The sequence below is a fragment of the Homo sapiens genome, chromosome 6 (assembly GCF_000001405.40).
Source record: "Homo sapiens chromosome 6, GRCh38.p14 Primary Assembly".
Classification (NCBI taxonomy): domain Eukaryota; kingdom Metazoa; phylum Chordata; class Mammalia; order Primates; family Hominidae; genus Homo; species Homo sapiens.
In genome coordinates this window covers 143,694,025-143,714,195 of record NC_000006.12, presented here as the reverse complement: position 1 = coordinate 143,714,195, position 20,171 = coordinate 143,694,025, and the positions used below count along the sequence as shown (strand labels likewise).

At 39.6% G+C, this 20,171-nt stretch overlaps 1 protein-coding gene across 8 annotated transcripts in view, besides 1 other annotated feature; it reads right to left on the bottom strand.

Moving 5' to 3' along the window:
* Positions 1–20,171, bottom strand: part of PHACTR2 (phosphatase and actin regulator 2) — a 294,308-nt gene that overhangs the window by 116,990 nt on the left and 157,147 nt on the right. For all 8 annotated transcript variants that reach the window (NR_172204.1, NR_172205.1, NM_001394736.1 and 5 more), the window contains exon 2: positions 2,013–2,180. Coding sequence is in view for 6 of the 8 variants with exons in the window: in NM_001394736.1 (NP_001381665.1) it covers positions 2,013–2,180 (168 nt within the window). In the remaining 2 variants the exon portion in view is untranslated. The remainder of the gene's footprint in view (positions 1–2,012; positions 2,181–20,171) is intronic.
* Positions 7,638–7,838: a silencer, noted in NCBI's record as "peak6179 fragment used in MPRA reporter construct". NCBI's record gives its function as "represses an SCP1 promoter by STARR-seq MPRAs in K562 erythroleukemia cells {active_cell/tissue: K562}" and the evidence as "EXISTENCE:reporter gene assay evidence [ECO:0000049][PMID:32103011]".

Below are 20,171 nucleotides of genomic sequence, written 5' to 3'. Positions count from 1 at the left end.
TTCATTGATTATCAGACAGCAAATGGCCCTGATCATATCCAAACAGCTTGATTCCACTGCTTGAGATAATTTTTTAAAGAAGAAAATAACTTTCTCTTGGTTATATCCAAATATTAGTTTTGTGCAAAAGTAATTGCGGTTTTTTGCCACTAAAAGTAATGGCAAAAATCGCAACTACTTTTGCACCAACTGAATATATCAGTTTTCCTCTAGATATGACATCTTTCTCCAATGTGAAAAAAACTAATGTATGATACACCATTTTGTATCTTATGTTCGTTTTCGTACGTTACGTCTGGAGCCCTGCTCCCATCTTGGGTAGTCTTGGTAACGTGAAGAGCCAGATTCTCCCAATGCTTAAGCACATGTGAGAGGGAGGCACTTGAAGAAGGCCAGTGAGGTTCCTTCCACAACCAAAAAACAGAGGAGAACAAGATGCCCAGCCAGGGACTGGAAGGAGTCAAGGGTGTAAGGGTGTCTCTGGAGACCAACAACAGAATCAGGAACTGAAGCACCTCCGAGTTTAGCACATTCAACTACCCGATTTTGCAGGCGAGAAAACTGAGGCTGATCTGACCTGTTCAAAGTCACCCAGCCGGGTGTCCTCACACAGCACAGCACCCTGTCCCTCACCTCTCACTGCCTCCTAACCCAGAAAGCCACTTAGGTGCTGAAGAGGACCCAATAACCAAACTAGCATTATTTTCCCTTAAGCCAAGTTTCTCTTCTTTCTCTATCTTTTTATTACAGAAATTTTCCAATATCTATAAGCAGAGAAATGAGAATAATAACCACCATGGACCCATTGCCCAGCTTGAACAACCCATTGCCAGTCTTCCTTTATCTATAATCTTACCTACCTCACACTCCTCCAGGATTATTTTGAAACAAATTCCAGGTAGCCTATCATTATTTCTTGTTAAATATAAAATGCTCAAATAAACTATATAGCTGCAAATGCATCCGAGACCACTTTTTTGGGGAGCTTTGATGCTCCTATTCCATATCCTTGCATTGTGTGTAGTATTTTTAATTTCATTTCACAGCTCTAGAACAAAACTCTGGTTCTTATCTTAGTACAGACCAATAAGATATGCTCTGTGACCCTGTACATCCACTAACAATATTAGACTGTGGTGCAGTGAGGAATTTTGATGAAGGGATTGCCTTGGACAGTAAGCATGGGGAACGTTGAACTTACTAAACACTTTTCTATCTTAGACACAATACACTCACACTAACACTTGTTTAAATTGGGCTGAATTCTGGCCTGAGATTTAAAGCCAGCTTTGTCCACGAGTTGATATGAAAGGCACTAAGCAATGTAACTTTTAAGGTTTCACAAATCTACAAACTAAATTAACAATCAAACATTTTCACACCAATAGGGTTGTGCCTCTACTCTCTTAAGACAGAGACCATTTATTTGTCCTAAGGATATGATAGAAATCTAAAATCAAATATAACAAAACTTTTCTTTCATATAGCCACTAAAATCTTTCCTAAAGAATAAATACATCAAAAAATACATTTTTAAAAAAGTTTTAATTAACGAACAAGACCGTTAACATTACGTTATGTGTATAGCAGTATAGTCTACTAGTTAAATCGTTAAATATTTATATATTAATATAAATAGTATAGTCTAACTAAATATATAACATCATGTGTATATAAAAATGGATACCTGTCATCACAATGTTGATGAATAGCATTTCCACTTATCATTTTCTACTATTTCACTCCCTCGCCTCACCAATCCATTTTTTATATAAATTTACAAATATATATTTTTAAATAAGAATATATTAGAAAGTCAAGGTCAGTATAGAAAGAAGGCAAATCAGAACTCTTAAGTTGTTTCATCCTTATTTTATTCTTAAAATAAAGAATTTCATTTCAAATACGGATTAATTTTTTTCTGGGAAAAAACACACTGTAAAACATAATTTTCTACCTTTTAAAACGTTTTACAATTTATCCCATCTTCTAACAAGTTATGATACTCATACCTGCCGAGGTTTCTCTAAATTTGTCGCTGGTCTTCTTTTTCCTCCATTTCCAAGGCTTAAAGATTTTACCAATGGTGGATAGTTTCCCCTTTCTTTTGAAGGGAGGTGTTTGGGAACCTGCTGTGGGGCCATCTGAGTTTGCTATAGAAGCTTTGTCCAGTCCGTCAACTGTATAAAGAAAGATATAGACAGAGAAAGGTTGTAAAAAAGGTTGTAATAAAACCACATCATCAATTGGTCCCTGGGCTGTTAACGGTAAGCACGTCCACTCTAATTGGAATCTCACATAAAGTTTATTTGTCCCATTTCACAGCTGGTAGGACTTCCCTCATATCAATCAGTCAATCAGAAATTACAGCCCACTTAGAAAATCATTCTGGGGAAACAGACTAGAAGCAAGAGACTTACATTATAGATGGGGCCAGACAAATGAGTGTCTGTGCAACACAGCTGAATCCATCTGCAACAACCCCATCAATATTTTGTACAGGAATAGAGTATTCTAAGTATTTGTGAAATAGGCTGTTCCTCCAGAGACTAGTCTGACATTCTCAGTAATGAATATTACAGTTATGGTGTAGTTAAAATCATGGTTTCTCATTCACAAAATAAAATTTGGTGCCAGGAAGCTAAATTCTATTTTTACAAGGCTAAAACTATCTTTTGCTTCTATTACAAAAAAGGTTTTGAGCTTCAAAGAAACTGATAACTACACTAACAACAAGAAATATGTGGAAAATTTGGGTACTGTGTGTGATAAAAACATGTCTTTGTATGTCTTCACTATTTTATTAATCAGAAGAAATGCACAAAATCTTAAGTTGCCTTGCTTGCACTGTGTTCTAGGCTGACAGAAGATAGCAATGACTTATGTTACACCAACTATCAAATTTTAATGGCAAAGAACTGGAAGCAGGCCAGAAGGGATGAACTATAATATTATTCCATCAATAAAATAGCACTTGAAATTATGGCAAAAAAGAAAAAATCAAAACAGTAGTTTTTTCTTGGAGGCAGAAATAACCTGAGAAGAAACTTGAGGGAACGTATAGCGGTGATGGAAATTATCTCAACGATGGTTGGATTACCCAAAACTCATCAAATGGTATTTACAATTTTTTGCATTTCACTTTTGTAAAATTTACCTTTAAAAAACCGTAAACTGACAGTGAAGTCTAATTAATGACATGTATGCTGAAGTGTTTAGAGGTGAAGTGTACTGATGTCCGTCAAAAATAATAACTGGATAGATAGATGGAAAAGGCAGATGGATAAAAGTGCAATAAAGTAAAATATAGCAAAATGTTAAGTGTTGAATCCAGCTGGTAGATACGCATATGAGGCGTGATACCAATTCTTTTATCTTCTCTGTATTTTTAACAACTTTCTTAATATAATATTGGTCATAGTAAAACAAATAAAAACAAAAATTGAAGAGCAAGGACTTCTGCTTCCAAGAAGATGAAACAGACTTACTTTTTCTTTTTGAGATAGAGTCTTGCTCTGTCGCCCAGGCTGGAGTGCAGTGGCGCGATCTCAGCTCACTGCAACCACCGCCTCCTTGGTTCAAGCAATTCTCCTGCCTCAGCCTCCCAAGCAGCTGGGACTGACTACAGGCACATGCCACCAGGCCTGGCTAATTTTTGTATTTTTAGTAGAGACGGGGTTTCACCATGTTGCCCAGGCTGGTCTTGAACTCCTGACCTCAAGTGATCCACCCGCCTCAGCCTCCCAAACTGCTGGGATTACAGGCGTGAGCCACCACACGCAGCCCAAACTTAACTTTTTCTTATTCCTCTGGCTAAATACAACTAAAAAAAACAACCACGGGTGTTACATAAAAATGTAAGAAAATTCTGTAAGGCCAAGGGAAGGTAGACAAGCCTGGGACCTCAGAACCCAAGAAACAACACGGTGGTGAGATTCCTGGGTTTTCTTTTTGCCTCAAATATCCCAGACTCGTAGCTGAAGAAGTAAGAAACCTCGAAAGGCCAACAAGCATGGAAGCCAGCAACCCAGAAACACCAATGGGCACAGACCACAAACGTCTGCACTCTCTAGCCACATAACCAGGAAAGGGGCAGAGTAGCAACATAAGAAACTTTTAGACAATAACTGCTCTACTACAGCCGAGCACCATAGAAGAACCTGTGACCATGCATGCCAGCAAAGGCTGAATGGAGTTACTAGATTTCCACCCTCATGAGGCTCTGAAAAGGACCCCTAATACCCCTACTAGAGTGGTGTCAGAGAAGACCAAGCAGGAAACTAGCACCTTTATGCCTGGTGGCTGATAATGAAGCATCTTCCACAGTGTCAGTGGAGACCATGTAGGAAGCCGTGACATCCAGCCCTACCCAGCAATAACTGGGTATCTCTCCCCTTCCCCCTAATACAGAGGTGGCCAAATCATTGCACACTGGGAACAAGACCACCCCAACTGTGGTATCAAGGGAGACCACATGGGGATCTGGAAATTCTACCTGTGCCCAACAGTAACAAGGACACCCCACACACATACACAGCATGTCAACAGAGGACAGGTGGAGAAATGGGATTTTTACCTCCATGTCGGGGTGACAAGGCGGCACCCACTGCTTCCCCTGCTATAGAGGTGTCAGACAAAGCCAGTTAAAACCAAAGGTTTCAAACAAGATCTAGAGTCACATAACATAATACAAAAATGTCCAAGTTTCCATCGAAAATCACTTGACACACTAAGAACCAGGAAAATCTCAAACTGAATGAAGACAGACAATCAATAGATGCCACTTCCTAAATCCTTATGAGTTCTCCTTCCACACAAATTGGAATAAATCCTATTCCTTCCACTAGTGAAGTCTACTCTAATTTCAGGTACTATCTGGGCAGAGATGGGCAGACACTGTGCATTGCTAGGGAAAATTGGAGATTCAAGTCCTACGCTAACTGATTCTTCTGAAAGTGGTTCCTAACCCTACTTTCAGCCATAGCACAACAGATAGAGATACAGGGGACAGACTGATTTTGAAGCTAATTCAGAGTAAAGGAGCAAAATATTTATTACTTCAATTTAACTCCTGTCCAACTTCCCTCTTTGAACCAGAGGGCAAACCCAGGGGGAACTGAGAGTATGGTTTTACTTCTTCATGAAGACTTTGTGCTGAACTCTCATGGAAGGGCTTAACTTTGAACAACTTAAATGTTGTAAAATATAAAAGGGCTAATTATTATGAACATAGAAACAAAAGTTTCCATCTCAAATTCATCTCTGTGGCTACATGTCCAGTTTTCATTTTCTTACAATACATGGGATCTTTCTCTCCCAATCCACATATCCAGTTCCCTGATGCTGCATAAAAATTCTACTTTCCCTCTGAAGCAATTAAGAACAGCCTATTTTTCCCCTATCATAGACCATATTTGCAATTAGAAACCATATGTTGGCACAGTTGGCCGATGTGCCATTGTACTTCTCTTAAATCATGAATGTGAGGACCACTGTCATCTGCTTTTGAGTAGTATGGGCAGAATATTAACTCTCCTCTTTAGATACCCAGGACACTGGGCATTGCTATTGATATTTCTATAATTTTTCTTGTGGATCAGTTTTCCATTAAAATCCATTTGAAACTTTCCATAAATTATTTCACAGTAAGTCTGGTGAATTTTGCATTTACATGCAGATAAGAACAAACTGCCAGGTAAATCCCAGATGAAAGGTAAAATTTCCTGATTGTTTTCAGCATTAATTTTGATCCATTTTTATGTTACTAAGAGTAACTTGTCATTCATCAGAACTTACCTTTTCACACTTGAGTTCTACATTTTAAAACACAGCATATTTTGAAATACAGTCATTAGCTAATCAAATGTAGAGACTTTAAATGACACAGCTCAGTCTATCTTCCCACTGAAACAAGCCCACCCCTAACAGAATTTCCCCACAACACCAATTGCTAAGAAATCAGAAAATATACACAGGTTTTATTTTTTATTTAAACAGAAATGTATCAGTTAGGCAGTCCCAGTGCAAATGTGACCATATAAGCCAAAAATAAATGAGGCTAGATAATTATCATATTGATAAGGTTTAGAAATGTATCCTCACCCAAATCTCATGTCAAATTATAATCCTCAGTGTTGGAGGTGGAGCCTGGTGGGAGGTATGGATCATGGTGGCAGAGTTTTCATGAATTGCTTAGCACCGTCCCCTCTTGATACTGTATAGTGAGTGAAATCATATGAATTCCAGTTGTTTAAAAGTGTGTAGCACCTCCCTCTCTCTCTTCCTCCTGATCCAGCCATATAAGACAAGCTTGCTTCCCCTTCACTCACGTGCCATGATTATAAGTTTCCTGAGATCTTCCCAGAAGCTAAGCAGAAGCTGGCCTGCAGAACTATGAGCCAATTAAACCTCTTTTCTACATAAATTACCCAGTCTCTGGTATTTCTTTACAGCAGTGCGAGAACAGACTAATATACATATGAAATAAATTGTAGGTTTGAATAGTCTTCCCTTTGAAATTTGATAAATAAATTATAGAGATTCTTAGAAAAATTGATTCTACCTAATAGAGTTTGTTGTATGTTTATACTATTTAATAGATATGACATTTTAGATATTAATTTTTCACCACACATAATTATTTCAGGCACTGAGAAACTGAGACTAATGTGGCATAGTATTCCAGCTCACAAATGTTGTAACTGAAGGACCATTTAGAAAAGAATCTCCATAAAAGAACTCCTGGTACTAATTTTGTACAAACTGAGAGCCGCCCTGCGGGAAAAAAGTAGGTGGCAAAAAACATGGTCTCAACTTTTCTCCAAATATCCTTAAATATCTGAAGGTCGATGAGAATGCATTTTTGAAGCCCAATCATAGCAAAAATAACTAGGAGAAATCATGTGTGGTAAACAATGCTTTGATAACACTCTGCTGTGTATGCTTTAAGAAAGTTAAAACACTAAGGATATCAAACTCTATTTCCTTAAAATATGGTTTCCAGGCTTTGTTATTTTTTTGTGCTTTATTATGTTTTTACAATATTAAGATTATCTGTGTATATTTTTATTTCTATTACAGTTTTTGTATTTCCATTATAATTCTGTCACTTTCCCCTTTAAAAGCCACAGAACATATGGCAAAGAAAAATTAGAACAGTGCTTAGGGAAGATTTAACTTTATTACCTACATTTACATGAGGTCTCTTTCTCTCTCTCAATTGAAACAATAACTTAAGATACATGCTATCATTAAACAAGGGCGGATGTACAACATCTGGGCACAGAAGCTACCCACTACTGGTTAGGGTGAACTGATGGTATAAGCCAGTGATGAGGTCAGGGTGAAGTGATGGTATAAGCCATCACAGATGAGCTTGGATCATGGTTTCTAAGGCAGCCAAGTGGCTATCCTTGCCTTCCGTTGTCTAAAGGAGTTCCTTACTCTCTTGCTAATCAGAGTTTACAGCAGATTGGGTCAAATATCTTCCTTTTAAGGGTAAGATAAATGGCAAATGGAGAAGAGAAAATGAACAGAAGAATCAAAATGTGTGGCATCACACGGGGTGCAGGTTAAAAATTCTGAAACTGCTGAACATGTATATTGGGATCAAACAAGGAAGTACGGGAGTGGCAGATGGTGGAAGCCAGGTTTCTCACTACTGGAGAGAGAAGTTACAGATAAGCGAGAGAGTAAAGCTAGAATGATCCATGCAGCCCTGATGAGAGTTGGAGACATCTGCATGAACCCGTGTTTGCCCAGGTAGACAGATAGATAAGTAAATGAATTATAGACATGTATATATGCATGGGTTTGCTTACACACATGTATTTGCTAGCTCTGTCCTCTCAGAAGGCCTAGAAGCAGTAACACCCCAGTAGCAATGAGCACGCCCAACGCACAGATCTTGGTTTCTAATAGCATTCTCCAATAGGCAAGCACCACCTCCTTACAGAAAAGGCTGCTTCAAGAGCTGGGGCATGGAAAACACCAGATGAGCCCTGCAACATCTTGTAGTCCCAGAAAGTGCTCAAAAAGCAAACTGATGGGAGGAGGTAGGTTAAAGGGACAGAGGAGCCCACTCAAGAGTTTCCAAAGGCCAAAGCTGGAATAATCTCAGCAACAAAGTAAAATTATAGTATTAGATTATAACCCAAAGTATAAAATAAACATCCACAAATCCATACTCATATAGATAAATATTGAATGAATAAATGAATGTGGGAGAAGAGGTAAGTCCTTACAGAACTCCAAATAATTTATATACATAACCCTCTCTCAAGAAAGTGGAGCTTAACTCCTAACTGCTTAAATGTGGGCTATCCATAGTGACTTCCTTCCAAAGAGTGCAGTATGGAAAGAGAGGAGAAAGGGGTGGCTTTACGGTGAAGATGCTGACAAACAGGACCTTAGCCAGGGATCGAGGTTCACATCACCAGTGATAAGCTGTGCTGACAGTATGTACTCTTGATATGATATAAGGAGAATGGTACTTCAAAACCCACAACCCTGTAGTAACTACAAGGGAAACATCAGGCAAAACTAAATTGAGAAACATTTCTAAAATACCTGACCAGTACATCTCAAAATTTTCAAGGTCTGGCCAGGCACGGTGGCTCATGCCTGTAATCCCAGCACTTTGGAAGGCTGAGGTGGGCAGATCACGCGAGGTCAGGAGATCGAGACCATCTTGGCTAACATGGTGAAACCCCATCTCTACTAAAAATACAAAAAATTGGCTGGGCGCAGTGGCGGGCGCCTGTAGTCCCAGCTACTCGGGAGGCTGAGGCAGGAGAATGGCGTGAACCCGGGAGGCAGAGCTTGCAGTGAACCAAGATTGCGCCACTGCACTCCAGCCTGGGCTACAGAGCAAGACTCCGTCTCAAAAAAAAAAAAAAAAAAATGCAAAAATTAGCCAGACTTTGTAGCAGGCGCTTGTAATCTCAGCTACTTGGGAGGCTGAGGCAGGAGAATCACTTGAACTCAGCAAGTGGAGGCTGCAGTGAGCCAAGATCGCGCCACTTTACTCCAGCCTGGGCTACAGAGCGAGACTTGTCTCAAAAATAAAACAAGGCCGGGCGCGGTGGCTCACGCCTGTAATCCCAGCAATTTGGGAGGCCGAGGCAGGCAGATCACAAGGTCAGGAGATGGAGACCATCTGGCTAACACAGTGAAACCCTGTCTCTACTAAAAATGCAAAACATTATCCGGGCATGGTGGAGCGTGTGTGTAGTCCCGCTACTCGGGAGGCTGAGGCAGGAGGATCCTTGAACCCAGGAGGCAGAGGTTGCAGTGAGCCGAGATCGCGCCACTGCACTCCAGCCTGGGCAACTGAGCGAGATCCCATCTCAAAGACAAAAACAAAAACAAAACTGCCAAGGTCATTCAAAACAAGGAAGGTCTGAGAAACTGTCAGACCAGAGAAGCCTAAGGAGACACCACTGCTACATGTAACATGGCATCCTGAATGCATCCTGGAACAAAAAAAAGACGACATTAGGGAAAAACTACTGAAATCCTAATGAACTGTAGAGTTTAGTTAACAGGAATAGTATCAGTGTTTGTTCCTTGGTTGTAACAAATGTATCATGCTGATATAAGATCTCTCTGTACCATTTTTTCAGCTTTTCTGCGAATCTAAAACTATTCTAAAATCAAGTTTATATTTTAAAATGTGGCATTCGCTATCATGGAGGTAAATGAGGATAAAGATTTTTTTCTTAGGAGTGAGGAAGTCCGCTCGAAGGGGCCTCGGTGCCTACTGTCTTTTACCAACAGTAAAGATTTCAGCTGAAAGAGTTTTGGAAAGTAATATACTTCAGACTTGGCCATCTTTCTCTCCAAAATTCTCCCTTTACTAATACTTCCATTCCCAGTATTCTATAAGTAAGAGAACATTTAAATGGCTGTTTCAACACTTTTTAGCACATGATGGATCCAGATAAGGTAAGTAGTATTCAACACCTTGCAAAATGGTAGACAATGGGCCCAGCTCCAGCACGCATCAGGAGGTATACATCCACAGTTACTGTGTAAACAATACACAAAGAAGAGATTCCAAACATCCCTCCACCACACACACACACACACACACACACACAGACACACACACACACACACCCATGATGGACTTACCATGAAGTGAATAAATCAAGGCTGGCTGACCTTTTAAAGTAATGCCAAGAAAAATTTTCTCATTATCAGTACTGTGTTCATCAGAGACATATGATACATATTTATGGGAAAAAATTAAAACAAATTTATAGTCATGTCCTTGAACATGTGAAATGGTTAAATGTAAAAATTTTTAAAGAAACGATCTAAATATCTAAATAATCTAAAATTTTAGATTATTTTTGAACTTTCTATATATAAATGTATTCCCTCACTTAAAAATCTGAAAATAATAGAATTTTAGAGTTAGAAAAGATCTTGGCTCAGAAGAAAATTGCTTTTTATCAGCTGATGGTTCCTTTAAAAATAATCGGCATTAAGGTAATAATCATGGCAAAAGTATTTGAAAAATTATTTTGCCATCATCTTTTTAAATCCCTAAGAGTAAAAGAACAGAATGTAAGCAAGAAATTAAATTTAAAGAAAAAGAACAGAATGTGAAAACATTACTATATTAGAATGTATTGAAAGGATTTTAGTCGCTCTGGAGGAAGATTGCTCGTAACCCTGCTATTCATACATGCCTCCCAATTTGCCAATTTCCATTCCCCCATCACTTGAAAGAAACTACAAAGTTATCTAAAGGCAGTTGGGATAAGATCAGTTGTTCCCACAGTCATTAAAATTAATACTATGGAGATTTTCCAAAAAGATTTTTTCGAGGCATACAGACAGAATGTAAATGATATTGCACTCACAATCACATTCAGACCAAAGTGTCAATCATTCCAAAGCCCCAGAAATCCTCCTTATGCTTCTTCCAAATCAATACCACCCTCTCACCTCTATTCCCCCAGATAACCACTATTTTGACTTCCAGCAGCATTGATTTGTGTTACCTGTTCTTTTTTTTTTTTTTTTTTTTTAGTAATTTTTTGTAGAGACAGGGTTTTACCATGTTGTCCAGGCTGGTCTCAAACTCCTGGACTCAAGTGATCCACCTGCCTGGGCCTCCCAAAGTGCTGGGATTACAGGTGTTAGCCACTGTGCCCTGGCCTGTTTTATCACTTCTTGAACTTTAACTTAGTGGAATTACACAATATAATCTTTTGTATTTCTTTCACTGAATGTCTGTGAGATTCATCTATAAACTTTTTTCCCTTACTTGGTTTCTGGGAAAGCTAATCTACTTCTCTACCATCTTTTGATGTTGCCCTGAAGCCATGATAAATTAGAATTTCACCGAAGCAAGATTAAAGGTAGAGCAGTAGTTTATTTTCTGTAAAAAAAAAAAAAAAAAAAAAAAAAAGTTGTATATATATTCTTACAATGCATATTAGAGCACTCAGTAGTTCTGAGCAATGTAATTTATAAAAGCACTGGGTTACAGTGTTATCCACCATGGGACAACTATCATGTTTAGTACTTTCACATTATGCTATATATTAAAGCCCTATATATAAGGAAACTGGGAGCCAGGAAGGCTATCTGGCTTCCCAAATTGTTAACTAGTGAAAGAGATAAGAGTCTAGGTCACCTGATTCCTGATCCAGGCTTATTTCCCACTATACCAGGCTGTCTCCATTGGCATATGATAGCTAAACTCATGGTGAACCAGCAACACTCCTAGTAGCTCTAAAATAGCAGTAAGACTATTTGTAAAAAACAAAAAAGCAGGCTGGGTGCCGTGGCTCACGCCTGTAATCCCAGCACTTTGGGAGGACGAGGCGGGCAGATCACAAGGTCAAGAGATCGAGACCATCCCGGCCAACATGGTGAAACCTCATCTCTACTAAAAATACAAAAAATTAGCTAGCTGTCGTGGTGCGCACCTGTAGTCCCAGCTACTCTGGAGGCTGAGGCAGGAGGATCGCTTGAACCAGGAAGGCGGAGGTTGCAGTGAGCCAAGATCATGCCACTGCAATCCCTTCTCAAAAAAAAAAAAAAAAAAAAAAGCAAAGAAGACATTGCACAATCAGGACAAGCAATAAATCTGTGTTATTGTTCTGGGTTTTGACCACCCAACTGGGATGGTAAACTGTAAGCCAAGAAGAGAGTTGGAGCCTAGTTCCAACTCTGCTACTTAATCAGCCCTGTGACCTTGTGCTAGGATCCCAATTTTTCATTGCTGAAATTAGGAGACTAGGTTAAATGATCTCTAGGCTCCTTTCCAACTTTAAAAATTCTATGACTTCATATTGCTTTGTGCTGAGTGTATCAGTCTTGTAGGTCACATTAAGACCTATTCTATTACTTGATATTTTATTATGCTAAAAAAAGGACCTGTTCTAAGTGCTTTATCAATACTGCCTCTTTCATCATTACTACAACCCTGCGAAGTAGTTGCTATTAGTATTCCCATTTTATAGATGAGGAAGTTGAGGCTGAGAGACCAAGCAACTAGCAAGATCCCACAGCTGGTAAGCAGGATTTAAACTCAGGGAGTTTACCTCCCAAGTATTCCCTGTACAAAAATGGGGAGGAGGGTAGTGGGTGGGAGTGGATTTTTATTTTAAGATAAGGCAAGAGATAAACCCTAATGAGTAGTAACTCAATTCAACTCCCAGCCACTTATTGGGCTAATCCAAGGAGTTAGGGTAGGTACTGTTTTGCTGTCTAAAACAATGCCCAGTGTCATCACGGTTAATTTCACGCTGGCGGCAGGCAGTGTACTCTATACTTTATACTGACTAAAGTAATTTGATTGTACAGAATCCTTATTTATCATAATATTAATTTTAGAAGTTTGATACTATCAATTTTTAAACTTGTTTTTTTAACAGAGGCAGACATTATTTTTAAACTCCCAGAGGGAAAAGCTACTAAAGACTTCCATCTGCCTGCAAGCACTGACAGAGAATTCCAGAGTTTAAACTTGTGGCCAACAGGCCTGCAGAACGAATATGTTTGTGCAGCTGCATGACATCCTGATTCACTGACATGAACAACATCCCCTAGACTTGCTACAGGATATTTAACAGATTAAATAAAGTCGCTCTTATTTGGGGTTTACAGAAATTCTGATTGAGTAGGCAAAGGGCCACTTTGCTAATGGAAAAATCAATTTTAATGTAAATAAAAGCATTTTACGTTTTGAATGCCACTGTTATCGCTACAAGGGAAGGGTTGTCTCTATGAACAGATAGGATGACTGCTTAGGAATAGCAAGATGTCGCTACAGAGAGGAAAAACGTGACAGGAATCAACCAACAACCTATCTTGTTCCCCGTAGATGTTAGTCATATACAACAACTCCCGGAGTCTGAAGTGGAGCAGGTCATGGTGTGTAGAGTGTGTGCTGTGTTTGTGAAAAGGAAGAAAAAGCTGATATATCCCCAATGGACAATCTGCCAAGTGAAAGAATTTCAACTCATCCATGATAGGATAATGATCACCCTGTTCATGCTGGGAATGTGCGTCAGCACAGAACTTTAGGGGAGAAGCTGGTAGACCTTATATATAATTTGTGAAATAAAATATACTGAAATATCACAGTTCTCCTCTCGCCCCCCCTCCCCACTGCCCCCAATCAATGGAGTCTCGTTCTGTCACCCAGATGGAGTGCAGTGGTGAGATCTCAGCTCACTGCAACCTCCGGCTCCTGGGTCCAAGTGATTCTCTTGCCTCAGCCTCCCGAGTAGCTGGGATTACAGGTGCATGCCACCATGCCTTGCTAATTTCTGTATTTTTAGTAGAGACGCGGTTTCACCATGTTGGCCAGGCCAGTCTCAAACTCCTAAGCTCAAGTGATCCGCCCACCTCAGCCTCCCAAAGTGTTTGGTTTACAGGCATGAGCCACCGCGCCTGGCTGAAATATCACAGTTTTTAAGTAAGGGGCTAAATTTTGTTTCAGACAAAATTATGAAAAAATTCCCATTGAGGATGAATGTAACACAAATATTATTAAAATAACACATTAAATCTAGACCAATATATTTAAGTCGAAAGGCTGGTGGATAAATAAAAGCCCAGAGAATATATATAATGTGACTAACGTTCTCTCTATGTCCAAGAGCCTCCTGGCAGTCATACAGGGTCCCCAAGGCCGGTATCTGTGGAGAGACCGTGGCCACATGTAGTATCCCGGACAATCTCCCCAAGGCAGACATGAAACCTGCAGGCATGTACTATGGAAAACAGGATGCTGGGAGATCCATCCCATGGAGAAGAATTTATGTCAATTAGTCATACGGAGTCCCCAAGGCTCCCAGATTTACGTCCTTATAGCTCAGTTAAGAGATGACTGCAGCAACCCAGGCATCTGAACTTGGAGAGAAGGAGCGAAAAGGGACTGGAAATGATGGATGATCTGAGGGACACTGAGGAGAAAGAAGAGAGGAGTCTGAGGAACTGCCTGAGAACTCCATGGCCTGAACCTCTACAAGGGTATGGCTGGATGTCAAGAAGAGAGAAGATTTGGAGGAGAGACCTTTAGCTTGTATTCAGGCACCATGAACTTCAGGTGCTGGCAGAACATTCAAGGGAAGATGTCCAACGGACAGTCAGAAATGCATTACTGGCACTCTAGCAAGAAGCTGGAGTTGAAGTTATTTGGTGGAGTCTTCTAAACAAAAGCAGCTGTTGAGGACCAGGGGTAAACTCCTAGAGAATGATTACATTTAGGAGCAAGTGGGCTTTGCACAATAAAGAACGTTGAACTCCTTTGGCATTGAGAATGAACAAGTAAAGAAAAAGGTTTTGTTTGCTGTTTGTTTTAAGTTCATAAAGTGTGAAGGACACTCAAGCAGGTTCATGGGCTGAGGAGAAGGAGCCCTGGGTGTCGGGGTGTTGAAGATGCAAGAAAGAAGAAGGGCTGCAGAGCTGCACCAGCCAGGATGTCAGACCAGCCACACGGGGACTGCATGGGGACTGAATTCCTTCAGGTCATAGCGAGATTTGGGGTGGAGAGGGAGAGTCTGAACTTCATCCAGTGAATATGAGGAAATGACCAGGAAGTCAGGAGATGACAGCACCAAAGAAATGTGAAGGAAAACTCAGCAGACGGCACCTACCTCAGATGAGGGCATGCACAAGACTGGACGCAAAATGAGCAGGGAATAGCACTGGGGAGTTGATGCAATGTCAGCGCCCCCTGTGATAGGAGAGGTAAAGGACAACAGAGCCACCATTGAAGAGAATTACCAGGGCAACAGTGTTGCCAAGGAGACCCAGGGTTCGGACAATCCAAGGGAGAGGAGGAAGGAGATATCTGCAAAAATAATGAGGCTGTAGAAAAGTGTGTTCACTGTGGAACGGAAACATTCATGCACAATTAACTGAGCAGCTATTATAGAGGAAGGGCTACAATGGTAAGCAAAAACAGATCAGATCTCTGCCCTTAGGAGGCTTGCAGGCCATGAGAGAGGCTGACATTAGTCAAACAACCATCCACCCAAACGTAGACCTGCAGTGTGTAGTGAGTAGGAAATGTGGGGGACCCCAGAGGCTCACACGGTGGTACTGTGGCATTAGTTCCCACGGCAGACATAGCACAAGATGGCCTCCAAATTATGAGTTAAAATTCAGGGTAAAATTGTTTGAGGGCTACAGAGGTTTAGTCTAGTTTCATAGCATTGCCTAAAAGGTAGAAATATCCTATGCAAATTAAACAGGAAACCATTTAAAAGCCACTGAAAAGCAAAAGATTAACATTCCTTGGTTTGTACACCTAATTCTCTTGAGAGAAACAATTCCACTAGTTGCTTTTTAAAAAAATAATTTTATAATAATGATGCCTTTAGCATTGATTTTATACTTTTTCTAACATAGTTATTGAGGATGCCCCACTTGCGAGATGTTCTATTTTGGTTTCTTTCTTTAAAATGACAGGTGTGTTAAGCAAGCATTCCAGAGAATGAGTTGCTCCAGCAGGATTTGGATAAAACACACACAGAAAGCCTCTGAATCCAATTAGAGCACCATCAAACCAACTAGCTTATTCCAAAATCCTTTTCTAATATAATTTTTATTTAGATTTTCAATACTGGTCTGAAGAAACATTGAACATGTTCTAGAATGATGGGAAAAAGCCCGTAACAGAACCTCAGAATAGCCAGTTGCAATTCACCAATGTTTTCAGAAACCATAAAAATGATTTTTAATTGTTGTTGTTATTAAGTGAGTAGGTTAAAAAAAAGACTACCTCTCTGAGAAGCAAGAAAAAATAATACTTCTCACCACTAGATTAGGAGTCCCATGAGGACAGGGAGCAAGTTGATTTTATTCCTGGTGGTGCCCCTATACTGTACTTAGGCCACAAAAAGGTCCCTAAAAATATTTACAAAAAGAATAAGTCATGGGTAAATGTGGGGCAATAATTTACAAGGCCTAGGCTATGATTTATTTTAGCAGGTCTTTAGATTTTTCACAGAGGAAATTGTTTCCAACAGTGCCTTCCTGTAGAATTCCAAATATTTTGAAAGATAATATAACAAACACTAATGTTTGAAATTGGGAAAATATCAGAGCCAGCAGGAAGGATGATTAACACTCATAAGAATGGTACAGACATTGCTGACACAGTTTTCAGGTAAGCAAACACTTAATTGCTCTTTACAAGGTAATTGAAAGACAATTCATCAAAGACAAATAATTGAAAAACAGCTGGAATAATTTATATGTGAAATTGTCTTTTAAGAAGTTTCTATTTTCACCCGGTGATGAGTGGTGAAAATTAATTTCTTCAAGAGCACTCTCTTTGTTAACATTTCCTTCTTTCTCATCTCAGATTTTTCTTCAGTCTTAACCTTCTTTCTCCTAATTGGGGAAGCCAGAAAAGCAATTTTGTTCCATGGCAAAGAAACAAGAAAATAAGTTACCTAACTAAATTGGAACTAAATCCAAACTGCTTTTGTTTTTTCCATTCTCTTTAGGCATCACACACGAGAATGTGAATCTCTTAGAAAACAGTGGAACAATATAGAAAACTATAAAACCATTTTAATCTGAAATTAAATTCTTTGATAATATAGCATTATGACAGATGTTCAGTTATGTGGCAATATTTTAGGCTTTCAATTAACTAAATATATCGGAACTACAAGGTAGAACTACCTTGCATAATAGCCCAGTGTTGTGGTGGCAAACATCTGACTCTACAATGTAACATGTTCAATGACGAGGAATCATTCTTTAAGACTGGCAGCCAGCAACAAGTTTTTATTCCAATTTAAACAGAACACACCACCTCTCCTATCTCACCTTTCCACTGTGAAGCAAATATCTCCTGTTAGAACAGTACCCTAAGGGGAGCAAACACAAGTGGAGAGAGGGCTGACACTTAGGTATTTCCACACTAAAGCTTCCAGAGAAGAAAATGGTTTGTTTTGTTTAACTCTTTAGCTATGTGTCACCCTGATATGACTTTGCGTATGCTTAAAAAATAGGAAATAGCCATTTAAATATAAACACAGACCTGTGAGTACTGCAAAGGAAAAACATGGGCTTCCAGTGCCAGAAAGATCTGAATGTAATAATCTGTTCCTCCCCATCCTAGCTGGTAACCTTAGGTCTGTAATTCAACCTTTCAGAGTCCCTTCCTCATCTGTAGAATGGGGTAATACAATTCATGATTTGGGTTGTGGCTACTGTTAATAGAGATAATACATGTAAGCAAGTGGAAAAAGGCTGATAAGAGGTTTTGTGGGGAATAAAAATGGAGAGTGGGTTATTTATGATTTGGAGCAATTGGGGCAGCAAAATTTCTTGGAAAAATATTTTCCTGGTCTTCTAGAGGTCTCCAGGAAAACAAAAATGCCCCCTGAAATAAATAAACTCCTGTATACCCACCCAAAACAGTTACCTGCATTCTCCGTTGGTCTCAAGATAATTGCTGGGAGCTGCTAAAACCAACTAAGACTCGAGGGAAATCCCCACTACTCTATAGCAGAAATGCCCTGGATTAAGGAAAGAAACTAAGCAAGAAGGTTGACATCATATACAAGAATGAGAGAGGAGCTAAGAGTTGGACGTGGCTCTATTTCCTACCAGCTGGGAAATTGCGAATTTTTTATTTTTATGCTTGCACCTGCAAAAAATAAAAAATTTTAAAAATCAAACCAACAAACATAAAACTATTTTATAGAAAAGGCCAGTTGCTTACTTGATTAATACAACGCTTAGTAAATCAAGGTGAAACTGATTAGGCGCTATTTAGTCAGATACAAATTGTTGTTCCTTTTGGTTTTTAAAAATCCTGCACCGTATAAGATGTGTTGCTACGGCTGCTAAACACAGGAAGTTGCATTTTACTGTTGTTTCCACATGTGCCTAATGTCACAATCTAAAGAGAAAAGAAAGATCTGTTTTATGATTCCATTAACTTCAGATATTTTAAGTAAAGACCACCTATAAATTCAATGTAGATGACAAAGTCCCAGAGGATTCTTGATTATGAGACTCATGTTATCCACTGGACTGGCTAAGAAATCATTATCAAAGGGCCCTCTGTTTATTCTGCCCTTCCCTTTTAAAGATCTAGCAGGAACCTTATGCTCATTCCCTTTGCCTCTAGGACTGCAGTGCCCAGCAATGAAAATAAACCTGGACTGGCACTGCAAAACCACAAGCAATTAATTAAATCCTTATCAGTTATTTCCACTGTCTATAGTAAGACGCCATTTTTATGCCTTAGGGTATTGAATGTTGAATCTGAAATAGGGTCTTGGATCCAAGTGTTCTGTTCTCAACTTGGAAGAACACCAATATTCTATGACTTTTAACCTTCCTCAGATTGAGTGCTCAGCATATTCTAATCTGCAAGATGCCTTAAAAGTCTACAATGACAGAGTCACAACTAAAGGGTGTAGAGGTTTGGCTAAGAGCTTCTGCATGCCCTGATCCCCATGCCCAATCCATCATAATCTGGATTCGGATCAGGGCCTAAGAGAAGTGAGTCTTGTTTGCAGCCTTTGTAGAATGCTTGTATCTCGCCATCTCAAGGCAATTCCTGGTCCAAGAGATGCCTATAAAATTAAATAATTTCTGAGGTTTAAGGAGAGTTTTAATCATTTTACAAAAGGACCTAGGGTCACTAGATTCTGATGCACCCAATTCTTATTTGTGTGCTTAACCAGCTTGAGGGACCTTTTTCAATAAAATAAGGAATTTTGAACCTAGAGGAGGTGGGTGTGCTGTTGAAGCATTATCTTCACGTTGACAAGATAAGCAGTCCACCAAAACTGACTGCACCAGTTAAAAGTTTCCTGTGAGATTTACGAATTGATAGGAAGACATCATTGGAAGCCTGCTAGGTGGTTTACAATGCATATGGGCTAGAATACAAATGCAGTTAGTCGTAATGAATCATCTTCGAATTACCAACCTGTCTCAATGGGGCTCTGCGTTTTCTGGCAAGAACATTCTTGTTCTGACTTTACTTTGACAGGTGTTTAAACACCATCTTTCTTTAACACGCTTATTCATTTTCTTTCTTATTTTAGCAGCTCTTTGAAAAGAGACATGTCACCCTGCGGATTTCAAACACATCTAAGACAATGAAAGCATACAGAGCCAGCAAAACCAAACACAGAAAAGGAAGACTATATATGTAGTGACATTTGAGAACAAAACATTTCTCCAAATACAGGGCTTCACATTCAGGGCCCTCAAAGAAGATTATAAAACCAGTCAGGTGGCCACATTAGTTACTGACCACACTGGGATTAGGATCTTGATAAGTAGTTTGGGGGTTTCTTTCCTGAACATTACTCGATCAATTTGGTGCTCCAATCACAAGATACTGGTATTGATTTCTTACACAATGGCAGAAACATAATGTCACATATTCCATTTCTTTCTTTATTTATTTCCTTTTTTCTTCCTTCCTTTCCTTTCCCTCCCTTCCTTCCTTTTTTCCTTCCTCCTTCTACTTCTTCCTCCTTCCTTTCCTCCCTCCCTCCCTCCTTCCTTCCCTCCCCACTCCCTGTCGCAGGCCTTCCTTCCTTCCTTCCTTCCTTCTTTCCTTCCTTCTTCCCTCCCTTCCTTCTTTCCCTCCTTCCTTCTTTTTCTTTAAGATAGGGTCTCACTCTGTCTGTCACCCAGGCTGGAGTGCAGTGGTG